This window comes from Homo sapiens, chromosome 13 (assembly GCF_000001405.40).
Source record: "Homo sapiens chromosome 13, GRCh38.p14 Primary Assembly".
Lineage (NCBI taxonomy): Eukaryota > Metazoa > Chordata > Mammalia > Primates > Hominidae > Homo > Homo sapiens.
In genome coordinates, this window is record NC_000013.11 from 18195213 (window position 1) to 18209641 (window position 14429).

Genomic DNA, 14429 nt, shown 5'->3' on the forward strand with positions numbered 1-14429 from the left:
CAGTCCCAGCCGCGGCCCCTTTAAGAGGGGGTGGTGCTTCAGCCTGGCGCCAGGGACGCTGCCAGCATGCAGGCCCCGAGGGAAGCCGAGACTGCGCTTCGTGCGAGGCCCGGGCAGCATCGGCGGCGTGGTCAGAGCGAGTCTCGGAGAAGATGTGGTGGCTTCCGTTTGTTGGTGGAGGAGGTGGCAGGCCTCGGCGGTAAGTGGAGGGGGATGAACCCCACCTGGAACCCTCTGGGTCTCCCTACTCCTTCCCGGCCGCTCCCTGCTTTCGGGCCCTGACTTCTAAGTGGGCATCTGGGCCCGAGTCGTCAGCGTTGGGGCGGTTGTGGGATCCTGGCCTCTGCAGCGTCCACACCCCCGCCGGGAAGGCTATGCCCCGGTCCGACCCACGTCCAGCCTATAGGAGCGCCCTGGCCCAGAGCCGGCGGTGAAGCGCTGGACTGGGTCCCTCCGAGCCCCACGGGCCTCTGAGCTGGGGTCTAGGGTTATTTTTTATGCCTCAGGACCTTTAGAAAGAGACCTCGCTAGAGCAGGGGACATCTGTAGTTTCAATTCTTTGAGGAGTTTCCAGCTATTTAACTGTTTTCCATGGTGTGTACCCTAATTTTCATTTCCACCTACAGTGTATGAGTTCCCGTTTCTCCAAAACCAAACCCCCATTCCAATTTTTTTTGTTTTTGTTATTTCGAGACGGAGTCTCGCTCTGTCTCCAAGGCTGGAGGGCAGTGGCGCCATCTCGGCTCACTGCAACCTCCACCTCCCGGTTTCAAGCAATTCTCCTGTCTCAGCCTCCTGTGTAGCTGGGACTACAGGCGCCCGCCACCACGCCCGGCTAATTTTTGTATTTTTATGTTTAGTAGAGACGGGGTTTCACGATATTTGTCAGGCTGGTCTGAAACTCGTGACCTCAGGTGATCCACCCGCCTTGGCTTCCCAAAGTGCTGGGATTACAGACGTGAGCCACGGCTCCCAGACCCTCCTATTTTTAAAAAATTTTTCTAGGAATATTCAATAAGTGTGAGACTATCTGCGTGTGGTTTTGAATTACAGTATTCTAATGAATAGTTAATTTCGAGGACCTTATCTCTTATCTGTTGTTCGATTTTATATCTGTGCAGAATTGTCTCTTTAGGTTATTTGCGAAATATTAGATTGGATTCTTTTTCTACTTTGTACTCTTTTTTGTGTACACGTTAGTTGACAACTCCTCGTGAATTACATGATTGCCTGAAATTTTTGCATAATCTATGGGATGCTTTTTTATTTGGAAAGTAGTTTTCTTTGCCATGCAGAAACTTTTCACGTTGATGTAGTCCCATATTTTTTTTTTTTTTGCGTTTTATGCGTGTCATAATGGTCACCCATATTAGAAAATATGCATCAGTAACAAAGCATTTAATTGTCAGTGAGGTTTTTCTTCCAGGGTGTTTGTTTCTTTTCCTCTTTGCAAAGGTTAACAGAGATTCAAGTGACCCAAAATATATGCTCAACCTGTGTTTTACTTAAGTAAACACAGTAATTTTTTAAAAAACATTTTGTGGTTTATGGTATTTTGTTTTGGCCTTCAGTTGATGGGGGGGGCGGTTGATTTTCATACATCGTGTAAAATAAGGGTCCTGTTTCTCGCTTTTGCATCCGGATATCATTTTTCTCAAAGCTATTCATTGATCAGACTCTGCCTTCCACATTGTGGTGTTCTTTATCAAAGTCAGTTGACTGTGTCCATATTTGTGTTGTTTTTGTCCTCCCTGTTTTTGTCCATAGTTCTAGGTATTTCTTTTTATGCAAGTACCATATATCTACTGCATAACTACAACTTGGCAATTTAATTTGATATCAAGGATTGTGGGTTCTCACTTTGATTGTATTTCTCAGGATTCCTTTAGATATTCATTGCTTTTGTGGTTCCCTGTGATTTTTAGCACTATGTATTTATTTCTGTTAATTTTTTTACAACATAAAGGGCCATAATTAGGGGTACATTTTTATACATATAAATTGGGTAATGATCAAATCAGGGTACTTAGGATCTCTATTCCCTCATACAGGTATTATTTTTGTGTAAAGAGAACATTCAAAATTCTCCTTGCTCTTTAGAAAAATGTAATACGGTTAAGTCCAGTCACCAGGCTGAGGAGAACACTCAGATTTATTCTTTTAATGTTAAGATAACTTTGTTTCCATAACCAATCCTTCTCCATTCCCCTTCTGTCTCCCAGACTCTGGTAACCAATATTGTGCTTTCTACTTCTTTAAGATAAACATCTTAAGATTTCACATGAGTGGTATCATGCAGTGTTTGTCTTTCTAGGCCTAGCTCATCACATTTATCATAATGTTTTCCAGGTTCATCTGGGTTGCTCTAAATGACACTGTTTGATTATTCTGATAGCCGAAGAATATTCCCCAGTGTATGTATATGAGAGTTTCTTGATCTCTTTATCTGTGGGTGAACAGGTAGGTTGAATATATAGCCAGTAGTGGGACTGCTAGATGGTATGGTATTTCCTTTTTTTTTTTCTATTGTTTGCAGGACCCCCAACTGTTTTTTATAGTGTTAATACCAATTTACATTTCCACAAACAGTCCCCCTTTCTGGAAATTCATACCAGGAATTTTATTTTTAAATATTTTAATCTTTTTGTGATGTTCATTCTAGTTGGAGTGAGATAAGATCTGAGAGTGGTTTTGATCTACATTTTTCTCATGAGTAGTAATGTTAACCACGTTTTTATAAATGTTGAATCTGTTTTCTGTCTTCTTTGCACAAATATCTACTCAGGTTATTTGCCCAATTTTGGTCTGGTTATTTCTCTGTTGTTTTGTTTTTTTGCCAGCCGTTAGTGTTACTGGCTTGTGCCTTTTCAAAAGTAACCTGTTATCCACTGTATGTTTGCCCAAACTTTTCTTATAAGTTTTAGTATGCCTTTTCATTTTGTTCGTTGTTTCTTTCCTTTTTTGGGCACAAATTCTTCAGTTTGATGCGGTCCCACATGTAATTTCTTGGTTAGTGTGCTATTGTTTACTAATCAAGAAAAAACAAAATCACTGCCAAAGCAGTCCATTGTCAGTGATTTTTCCCTTGTATTTTTGTTACTTTTTGCAAACCGTGAGCATACATCCAAGTTTCCCTAAATATACATACACTCGAGGTTGTGTTTATAAGAGCTTTATGGTTGCAAGTTTTGTGAATTATTTCTGTATTATTTAGTACCACACTTTTTGTATTATTTAGTACACTAAATATATTTTGTATTATTTAGTACACTAAATATATTTTGTATTATTTAGTACACTAAATATATTTTGTATTATTTAGTATAAATACAAAATAATACAAAATAAAAATTTTTTTATTATTTAGTACACACTATTTGTATTATTTAGTACCACACTTTTTGCAAACCGGGAGCATACATCCAAGTTTCCCTAAATATACACACACTCGAGGTTGTGTTTATAAGAGCTTTATGGTTGCAAGTTTTGTGAATAATCTTTAATCCTTTTGAGTTAAAGTGTTTTTTTTTTTTGGTACCACAAGAGTCCTGTATTATTTAGTACCACAAGAATCCTGTATTATTCTTTTGCATATGGATATCTAGTTTTGGAAACCTTCCCCATTGTGTTGTTTTGGTGGTGTTTTGAAAAATGTGTTCACTCTGTGTAAATTTGTGTTTATTATTGAGCGCCCTCATTTTGCTCACTGGTCTGTGTTTCTCTGTGTATGCCAGTAACATATGGGTTGGTTAACTAGGGATTTTCCTTTAATTAGAACCCAGGGAATGTGATGCAGCCCATATGGTTTGTATTTCTCAGGATTGCTTTAGAAATTCAGGGTGTTTCATATTTCCACATAAATTTTGGCATTGTTTCTTTGTATTTCTTAAAACACTATTTGCTATATACTAAGTGTATATAAGCAGAGGGTACAAGAAAGATTTCGATACATGTATATGTTGAGTAATGAAAAAATCAGGTTATTTAGCATCTCTTCACCTCATAGTTACTACTTTTTGAGTGGTAACAACATTCAGAATCTTTCCTTCTAGCTACTTTGAAATATATGATACATTTGTATTAAGGCTAGTCACCCTGCTGTAGAATAGAAGACCAGAATTGATTACTGTCATCTAAGAGTAACTTTGTACCCATTACTGATTCCTTTCCAGACCCTCTCCACCTCCCCAGCAGCCTCTGGTAATCCCTATTGAACTTTCTACTTCTAGGAGATAAAGCTTTTTTCAGTCTACATGTCTGAGATCACATGGCATGGGACTTTCTCTACCAGGCTCATTTGTTGGACCTGATGTTCTCCAGGTTTCTTCATGTGGCTGCAGATGGCAGGATTTCCCAAAGCTTTATGGCTGAAACATATTCCGTGGTGTATCTGTATGGCAGTTTCTTCATCCCTGAAGCTGTGTACAGACAGGTAGGTTGGTTTTGTACCTTGGCCACAGTTAGGAGTGCTTTAGTACCCATGGGAAGGTAGGTAACTCTCTTCAACCTAGGGATTTCAAGTGCTTTAATTGTGGAACCAGTGATGGGGCTTCTAGCTGACATGGTAGTTGTACTGTGAATTTTTTCAGGAACCTCTAGCTGTTTTTCATAGTGTGTATACTAATTTACATCCCCACCAATAGCATTTAAGAGGTTTCTCTTCTGTAAGTCTACACTGGCTGTCACCTTTAAAAATTTGTGTTTTGTTTGTTTTTGGTAGTATTCATTCTGAGTGGAATGAGATGGACTCTTAGTGTGGTTTTTGTGGACATTTTTGTGGGGATTGGTGATGTCGAGAAAGTTATTTGAGAAATCCCCACATCGTTTTCCATGGTGTCTGAACTAGTTTGCATTTCTACCAACAGCAGACCAGCATCCTCTCCTCCTCTGCCTCGCTGGCATTCATTCTTGTGGACTGTGTCATAATTGTCATTCTGACCAGTGTGAAATACTATCTCATGGGCCTTTTGCTTTGCATTTCTCTGATGATTACTGAGGTAGAGAAATGTCCTGTCCGTTGGTTGCTATAAACCTTCCTTTGAGATGTGTGTTTTCATGCCCTTTGCCCTTTCTTCACTGAGTTTTTGTTTTGCTGATTTATTTGCTTAACATTTTTGAGGTAGATCCTGGATATCAGACTTCATGAGATGCATACATGGGGACATTATCTCCCATTGTGTAGGCTTTCTGTTTACTCTGTTGGTAATTTCTTCTGCTGTTCAGCAGCTCTTTTGTATATTAGGTCCCACTTGTCAATAATTGTTTTAGTTGCACTTGCTTTTGGGGACTTAGGCATATCCATGCTGTGCCAAATCCTCTGTCAGGAAGTGTATTTCCTAGGTTCCGTTGCAGGCTTTTAATAGTTTGAGGTCTTGCATTTACAGCTTTCATTCATCTTGAGTTAATTTCTGTACATGGTGAGACACAGGGGCCCACTGTTTTTCTTCTGCAACTGGCTAGCCATTTTATCCCAGCACCATCTATTGAGAGGAGGGAGTTCTTTCTCCAAAGCTTGTTTGTGTGGTTTTTGTTGAAGATGAAGAAATAGTGTCAACCTGGTGTTTGATGTCCAATGTTCACCAGGCTCCAGGTGGACACCTCTAGAAGTAGATCTTTACAGATGAGAATCTGGAACGGGTTTGCTGACCTGTTTTAGTCGAAATGAATTCCTGACCTTCTTGTCAGGAGGAAACAGAAACCTGATCATCTGTAGTGTACGGTGGTATCGTGATTACTTAAATCATCAAATGTGGTTATTGGGAATGATGTGCTTTTTCAAGTGGTATATGAGAGGTAAAATTGCTATTGTAGTTGACTGTTGCAGTTATAATTTTGTCAACATGGTCTGTAAGAGTGCAATGGAGTCGGCCCGGCGCGGTGGCTCACGCCTGTAATCCCAGTACTTTGGGAGGCCAAGGCGGGCCGATCATGAGGTCAGGAGATCGAGACCATCCTGGCTAACACAGTGAGACCCCGTCTCTACTAAAAATACAAAAAATTAGCCGTGCGTGGCGGCACACGCCTGTAGTCCCAGCTACTCGGGAGGCCGAGGCAGGAGAATGGCGTGAACCTAGGAGGCAGAGCTTGCAGTGAGCCGAGATTGCGCCACTGCACTCCAGCCTGGGCAACAGAGCAAGACTCCATCTCAAAAAAAAAAAAAAAGAGTGCAATGGAAAGCTGGTAGAAAATGGACATTGTTTAAAGACCAAAACAACCACACTACTTTGCTAATCCCTATCAGCTAAAGCCTAGAGAATATATGAGGCATAGATTTACATGGTGTTTGACTAAGGCATGCAGAATATAATCTTGACATAGGCTAAGTTTATCAACATGGATACATAGAGATTCTGAAGTTAAAGTCTTAGCCCAAGAAGTTAGAAGGGGTGCTCAAGTTTGTCTGACAGAAACTGTGAATCCACACTGGCCTGCTTATTTTGAGGTTGTGTTGCCAGAGCTTTCCTAGCATAATAAAGAGAGGTGCATACAAAGGAATAGGAATAGTAGGAGGTGGGGGTAAAAATATCAGGTGTGATCCACATGCCAAGCCGACCCCCACTGTGTCCCACAGGAAGCCCCAGAAGATGTTTCTCTAAGAAATTAAGGATTCGTTTGTTGGGGAGGGCTGCTGGCATGATTGAAAAGTACTGTGACGGCTGAATTTTGTGGGCTTGGGGAGATTGTGGGTTCTCTGATTTCAAGGGGAATGATGTGATCCTAGAGTTGCAAAGAACAAGTGACAGTGGAGGCGCTTATGCTTTGTGATTGCACTAGAGACAAGGAAGACACAACTAGAATAATGGGGAGCAGGAATGGAGCGGCCAACAGAATATCTGACTGTTAGGGATCTTTGATGAAGGCTGATTCTCAGGGAGTGAACTAGATCAGTGACCAACTATTTGTCTTTATATAACTGGGTAATGTGGATGGATTCTAATAAAGGGACTACTTACAGCACAGCAGGAAAGACACAAAGAAACCAGACAGAAGAGTGTAAGTAGTAAGGGGCCAAGCAGTCACCTGACTAGAGAGAGTGCCAGCTTGCCAAGAAGGCACCAGACAGAAGCTGTGATCTTCAGCAAAGGGACACAGTCTGCCTGTGCTGACCCTGCAGGGGCAGAGGTGGGGGATAAACACACTCTTCTCTCACCTGTCTTCTGCCACCCCCTCCATTAGCTGAACCCCAATAAAAGCATGAGGGTAAGGGAGATCTCTGCAGTATCCAATTCAGGTGAGCCTCCTAAGGAACAAAGCAGAACGTAGAAAAATTAAGAATGGGTCTAGGGAATAAAATAGAGATATGCACCGGAGTATGATGATGTGTCTGGGAAAGAATATACAAATACTTTTAAAATTACTAGACAATAAACCTGAGATGACACTAATACAGGTAAATCTCATTTAATGGTAATATATTCCAAGAAATGCATCATTACGTGATTTTGTGGCTGTGCGGACACCATAGAATGTAGTTTATACAAACCTAGACAGTGTAGCCTACTACATACCTAGGCTATATCGTACAGCCTATTGCTCCTGGGCTACACACCTGTGCAGCACGTCACTGTGCTGAATACAGTAGGCCAGTAGTCCCCAACACCCAAGCCATGGACCAGCACCGGTTCGTGTCCTGTTAGGAACTGGGCACAAAGCAGGAGATGAGTGGCTGGCCAGCCGAGCATTACTTCCTGAGCTCCACCTCCTGTCAGATCAGCAGCAGCATTAGACCTTCACAGGAGCGCAAACCCTATTGTGAACTGCACATACAAGGGATCTAGGTTGTGTGCTCCTTATAAGAATCTAACTAGGCTGGGTGCTGTGGCTCACGCCTGTAATCCCAACACTCTGGGAGGCCGAGGCAGGTGGATCACAAGGTCAAGACACTCCTGGCCAACATGCAAACCCCGTCTCTACTAAGAATACAAAAATTAGCTGGGTGTGGTGGCGCATGCCTGTAGTCCCAGCTACTCGGGGGGCTGAGGCAGGAGAATCACTTGAACCCAGGAGGCAGAGGTTGCAGTGAGCCGAGATTGTGCCACTGCACTCCAGCCTGGCGACAGTGGGAGACTCAGTCTAAAAAAAAAAAAAAGAAAAAATAGAATCTAATGCCTGATGATCTGATGATCTGAAGTGGAACAGTTTCAGCCCAAAGCCATCCCCACTCCATGGAAAAATTATCTTTCACAAAACCAGTCCTTGGTGTCAAAACTTTGGGGACCACTGCTGTAGGCAGTTATATCACAATAGTAATATCTAAACATGGAAAAGATACAGTAAAAACATAGTACATTGGGAGACCGAGGCGGGCGGATCACCTGAGGTCAGAAGTTCGAGACCAGCCTGACCAACATGGAGAAACGCCATCTGTACTAAAAATACAAAATTAGCTGGGTGTGCTGGCATGGGCCTGTAATCCCAGCTACTCATTAGGCTGAGGCAGGAGAATCACTTGAACCCCAGAGGCAGAGGTTGCAGTGAGCCAAGATCGTGCCATTGCACTCCAGCCTGGGCAACAAAATAAAACTCCTTCTCAAAAAAAAAGAAAGAAAGAAAAAAATATATATATATTACAAAAGTTAAAGAGAGTGGTACACCAGTATAGGACACCTAGCATGAACAGAGGTTGCAGGACTGGCAGTTGCTCTGATGAGTCAGTGAGTACTTGGTGAGTGAATGCAAAGGCCTAGGATATTACTGTACATAACTATAGACTTTATATGCACTGTACACTTAGGCTACACTAAATGTATTTAAAATTTTTCTTTCTTTAACAAGTTCATCTTAGCTTATCATAACTTTATAAACTTTTAATTTTTTTAACTTTTTGATTCTTATAACACATCTTAAAACAAAAACACATTGAACAGCTGTACAGAAATACTTTATATCCCTATTCGATAAGCTTTATTTATTTTTATTTTTTATGTTTTAAACTTTTTTGTTAAAAACTAAGATACAAACACACACACTAGCTTAGCCCTGTAAGGGTCAGGATAATCAATATCACTGTCTTCCATTTCCAAATCTTGTCCCAGTGAAAGGTCTTCAGGGACTTCAAGGGCAATAACATATATGCAGCTGTCATCTTCTATGATAACAAGGCTTTCTTCTGGAAGAACTCCTGAAAGACCTTCCCGACGCTGTTTTATAGTTAATTATTTTTCATGAGTAGAAGTACTACACTCTAAAATATGAATAAAATGTATAGTATTGTAAATACTGTTGACCCTTGAACAGTGCAAGGGTTAGGGGACCAGCTCCTGTGCAGTTGAAAATCCATATATAACTCTGGGCTATCCCCAAACTTAACTACTAATAGCCTATTCTTAACTGCAAGCTTTGCTGATCAAATAAACAATTAATGCATACTTTGTTAATTATATACTGTATTCTTAAAGAAAGAGAAAAGAAAATTCTATTAAGAAAATCATAAGGAGGAGGAAATATGTTTACTATTCATTAAGTGAAAGTGGATCATCATAAAGGTCTTCGTCTGCATATTCATGTTGAGCAGCCTGAGGAAGAGAAGAGGAGAAGTTGATCCTGTTGTCTCAGGGGTGGGAGAAGCAGAAGGAAATTTGCATATAAGTGAACTTGTGCATTTCAAATCCATGCTGTTCAAGGAGCAACTGTACATAAACTAGTCACATGATCATTTATTATCATTACCAAGTATGACATATGGTACATAATTAGATGTGCTAACCTTTAATGCCACTGACAAATGTAGTGGGTTTGCTTATACCAGCCTCACTGCAAACACATGAGTAATGCGTTGTGCTATGATGTCATCATGGCCACAGTGTTACTAGATGGTAAGAATTTTTCAGCTCTGTTATCTTAAGCGACCACCATTGTATGCAGTGTAGCATTTACCAAAAAACCATTATGCCACACAGGACCATATTTGGGGCTTTTAGTGTCCCCGTCCCCAAGATCCTTCTATTCAAAATGTGAGCTCATGCATGGTTTAAAATTTGTGATGGTGTGCAGTGGACACATGGTGGATTGACATATTTTTTTCTTTACTTTTGAATAGTTGGATTTTTTTTTTTTTCAAGACAGAGTCTCACTCTGTCGCCCAGGCTGGAGTGCAGTGGCGCGATCTCAGTTCACTGCAAGCTCGCAAGCTCTACCTTCTGGGTTCACGCCATTCTCCTGCCTCAGCCTCCTGAGTAGCTGGGACTACAGGTGCCCACCACCAGGCCCAGCTAATTTTTTATTTTTTTAGGCGAGACTGGATTTCACTGTATTAGCCACGATGTTCTTGATCTCCTGACCTCGTGATCCGCCCACCTTGGCCTTCCAAAGTGCTGGGATTACAGGTGTGAGCCACCAAGCCCAGCCGAAGATGACTTCTTAAAATAGACACGAAGTATGAAAATACTTGTAGCCCAAGTAAATTCTTATTAGAGGGAATCCACTGAAGAGGAGTAATCGTATGCATACAATGACATGTTATATAATAGATGTTAGTCAGCTGATACTTGTTCAATGGGCTCATGGACAGATGCACATAATATTAAGGATAGAAGGTATTCACGACTTTACATAATCAAATTGTATCTGGACCAATGTAGAACAACTAAGGCTAATATGACAGCCTTCCCTCAGGGGCTACCCAGTCAACTTGCAGATTGACGACATTGAAACCCATCCCTCAGGGATTTTGTTCTCACTGAAATAGACACTTATTCTGGGTACGAACTCACCCTTTACATTCGCAGTTGTTCTGCTGGTACTACCATGCGTGAACTTTAATTTGTTATTCACCATCATGATATCCCATACAAAATTGTTTTTGACTAAGGAATTCATTTCACTGCAAAAAAAAAAAATATGGTATTAGGCTCATGTTTGTGCAATTCATTGGATTTACAACATAATCCCCATCACCTAGAAGAATCTGACATGATGGAATGGAATCATGTAACTCAGTTAATGCTCCCAGCTGGTAAACAACACATAGTGAGGTTGGGATGTTGTCCTACAGTGTGTGGTATAAACTTAGAGTCAGTGACCACCATGTAGTGTTATTTATCTTACAACAAAAACACATGAATCTGAAAGTCAAGGGGAGGGGGCTCCCTGCACTATTATGCCTAATTTGCACTTGCAGACTTTTTCTTCCCTTTTGTGAAACTTTGGGTTCTCCTCATTTAGAGATATTGATTCCCCAGGGAGGAAACTAACTTCTTTTTTTTTTCTTTAATTTACAAAAGGTAGGCTACGTTTATTAGAGTCACACACAGTTGACTGTCTCAGTGTGACTCAAGACCACAAAAAACCCATTTTTCCTTCACTTCTGAGTCCTGGGGTTAAGACTTAGACCAGCAAGCGTACTGCTTGGGGTGGCTTCACAGGTTTACACGTTTTTCATTGAGGGCAATCTGTGACTGTGTGAGGTTGGCCAGGTAGGCCACCATCAACAGGTCATTGATGTTGCTGTGGAGCATGGTCTCAAAGTCATCGGGAACTATTTTCGGTACTTGGTTAACCAGGCTCATCAGGAAGTGGCCCACCTTCCTGATTGTATTGTCAGCTGACACCTTTGCAGATAGTATATCCTCTGCATATTGCAACACTATGCTCAGGGCATCCTGGATGTGAGCTGATGCCCCTCCTACTTGCTGCAGGTCACTTGAGAGTCCAACCACTCTGTTGGGGCTAAAGCAGGTCTTCATGATCAGGTCAACTCTGATGCATTCAGTGTCATAGTATGCATATTTCACTGTCAAAGGTGTGAACACTCCCACGGTCCTCCCAGGGACACCCATTAAAGTGCTGACATAGGCTTTGATGCTCATATGGCCGTTCTGGAGACTTGTGTCCACAGTGAGGTGGATGGGGTTGGGGGCCTCTCGGCTGTAGTACTCATGGATCAGCACAGAGTGCTCTGTGATGTCATGGCCGGCAGCGTACCACCCCAAGATGAGCTCATTTGGAGAAACTTTTTTATGCAGTTCATACATGTTCTTAGCAAATTCCATGTCAACAACCACTTCATCTGACTCATTGTATGACACTGAAAAGCAATTGGTGACCTCCACAGAGTGTTTGTTGACAGTTCCCAACAGGGTCCCGATAACTCGGGCAGCACCCTTGTTGCGTCTCTCATAGCTGTCCACAGTGGAGGCCAAAAGGACTGGGTGCAGCCTGACCACACGGCCACCAGGGAAGGGCCCTGGAAGAGCAGGACCAGGCAGAGTGGGTGCTGGGGTCTGCACTGGAGCTTGTGCTGAGGCCAGGGTCTGGCTTTAGATGACAGGTTTCATTAAGTGGAAGCTGAAATACCATTTGGGGATATTTAGTTCTTCTTGAAACTAACGGTAAAGAAAACAGCAGACCTATTAACAGGTAATTGATCTAGAGATAGCCAAGGTGAAATTGGGTTTCTCTATTCAGTAGGGGCAGGGAGGACTATGTGTGAAACACAGGATTATCTCAGTCATTCCATGTGTGATAGTACATGAAAGAGATGAGCAGTTGTAGTGCTGTTCACTGTGCAAAAGTATCCCTTCTTCCTAACGTGGGAGGGCTGCTTTTGCAAATATGTCTGTGCTATTTCTCACTGGTCCTGCCTCTTCTGTTCTTGGAATCAAACTCAGTCCATGACAGATCCCACTACTAGCTGAATTTCTTTATTAGACTTTCACAAATGAAATTTTGTATTAGCAACTCAGGGGATTTCTTTAATTTTGCAAAAGTATGTCATCCTAATTTATTATTTTTTCCCTAAGATCTGGCAATGAGCATCGGTTCTCCGCTTCCTTTCTTACCCTGCTTACTCACAGCTGCTTCAGGTGACCTCCTTTTTAGGTTCAGAGTTATGGCTGACTTCTGCTTTAATCAAAACGAATGTATTTTGGTTTCTCATTTTGTTTATTGCTTCTATCTTCAAATTAGAAATCCTAGAGCTCATTAGATTTACTTTTATGTTTATTTTTGAAAGAGCATCCTGCTCTGTCACCCAGGCTGGAATGCAGTGGTACAATGACTGCTCATTGCGGCCTTGACCTCCTGGGCTCAAGTGATTCTCCTGCCTCAGCCTCCCGAGTAGCTGGGATTACAGGCACCTGCCACCACACCTGGCTAATGTTTGTATTTTTAGTAGAGACAGGGTTTCACCATGTTGGCCAGCTGGTCTCAAACTCCTGATCTCAGGTGATCTGCCCACCTTGACCTCCCAAAGTGCTGGGATTACAGGTGTGAGCCACCATGCCCAGCCGATTTTTATGACCATGAATGGGGACAGATTTCTTAAACAGATCACAAAAAGCCATAGTTTTAAGGGAATAAATTGATAAATTAGACTATATTCAAATTAAGAATTTCTGTTTATTAAGAGACACCACTAAGAAAGTGACAAGACAAGTTGCAGAGTGGAAACAGATCTATGAACACATAGAACTGACAGAGGGCTCACATCAACAATATGTAAAGAGCTCTTAAAAATCACTAAGAGAAAGAACAATGGGTAAAACACTTAAACATGTAATTTATAAAAGCAAAACTTGAATGTGTTCAGCTTTCTTAATATTCATGTAAATGCAAATTAACATCACAACAGGATAACATATCCTCCAAAACGGCTAAAATGTAAAAGATAGAACACCAAATGTTGGAGAGAATCTGGAGCAACAAGAACTCTCATCACTGCTGGAGGGGACACTGTGTTTGGCATTGAATAAAGGTTCTAGAAAGGAGCACATTTAGGACTCAGGTATTTCACTCTTAGGATAACAGAAACGCATGCACATCTGCATCAAAAGACATCTATGGAAATGTGTGTGGCATCATTCTCTGTCATTGGAAAAATATCTTGAAACAAAACCCAAATGTGACTTCTGTTTTCCAGCTTGGAAGCTGTCACTCCTGTCCTCACAACAACAACAAAAAACACCTTGAACAAACTGAAAATTAACAACTTTTCTTAGATCCATCAGAGACTTGAGGTTAACAGGGCAAACCGTTATCCCCCAAATTTGAGAGGCAGTGAGTCCCAGCCTAACAGGATCGGAGGCTGGCCACTGAAGCCAGAACCACGGTGGGAAGACTTACATGTAAACAACAAATCGCTGGAGGCTCCATGCACATAAACTTGGGAATTAAGAATTAAGGGAGCCCAGTCTTAGGGGGCCCTACACTTTCATGAACCTCCGAGAGCTCTGCCAGATGCTCTTATGCACATCAGAGAAAAATTCCCTCCTGCTTCCCACAGGGAAGGGGAAAAGTAACTACTTTGAAATACGCCCTGGGTGTTCCGTTCTCCTTAGCAAAAGCCTGCCCCAGGGAAACTATTTCACAAGAGTCTAACCACCTTGGGCTTTAGCAGGGCCTAACACATGTTAGAATAAGAATAAAAATTGCATCAAACTTTTCTTCAGAACCCATGCAAGCAAGCAAGAAAATTCCACCAACCTAAAATT

At 41.7% G+C, this 14429-nt stretch overlaps 1 long non-coding RNA gene and 1 pseudogene across 1 annotated transcript in view; one reads left to right on the forward strand and one right to left on the reverse strand.

Annotated features, from left to right (window-relative positions):
- The first annotated feature begins 84 nt into the window (after nt 1-84).
- FAM230C (family with sequence similarity 230 member C) overlaps nt 85-14429 on the forward strand; it is a 36720-nt gene continuing 22375 nt past the window's right edge. Inside the window, exon 1 of the long non-coding RNA NR_027278.1 lies at nt 85-199. This is a non-coding gene — a long non-coding RNA (family with sequence similarity 230 member C). The remainder of the gene's footprint in view (nt 200-14429) is intronic.
- Nucleotides 11209-12256, reverse strand: EIF3FP2 (eukaryotic translation initiation factor 3 subunit F pseudogene 2; annotated as a pseudogene).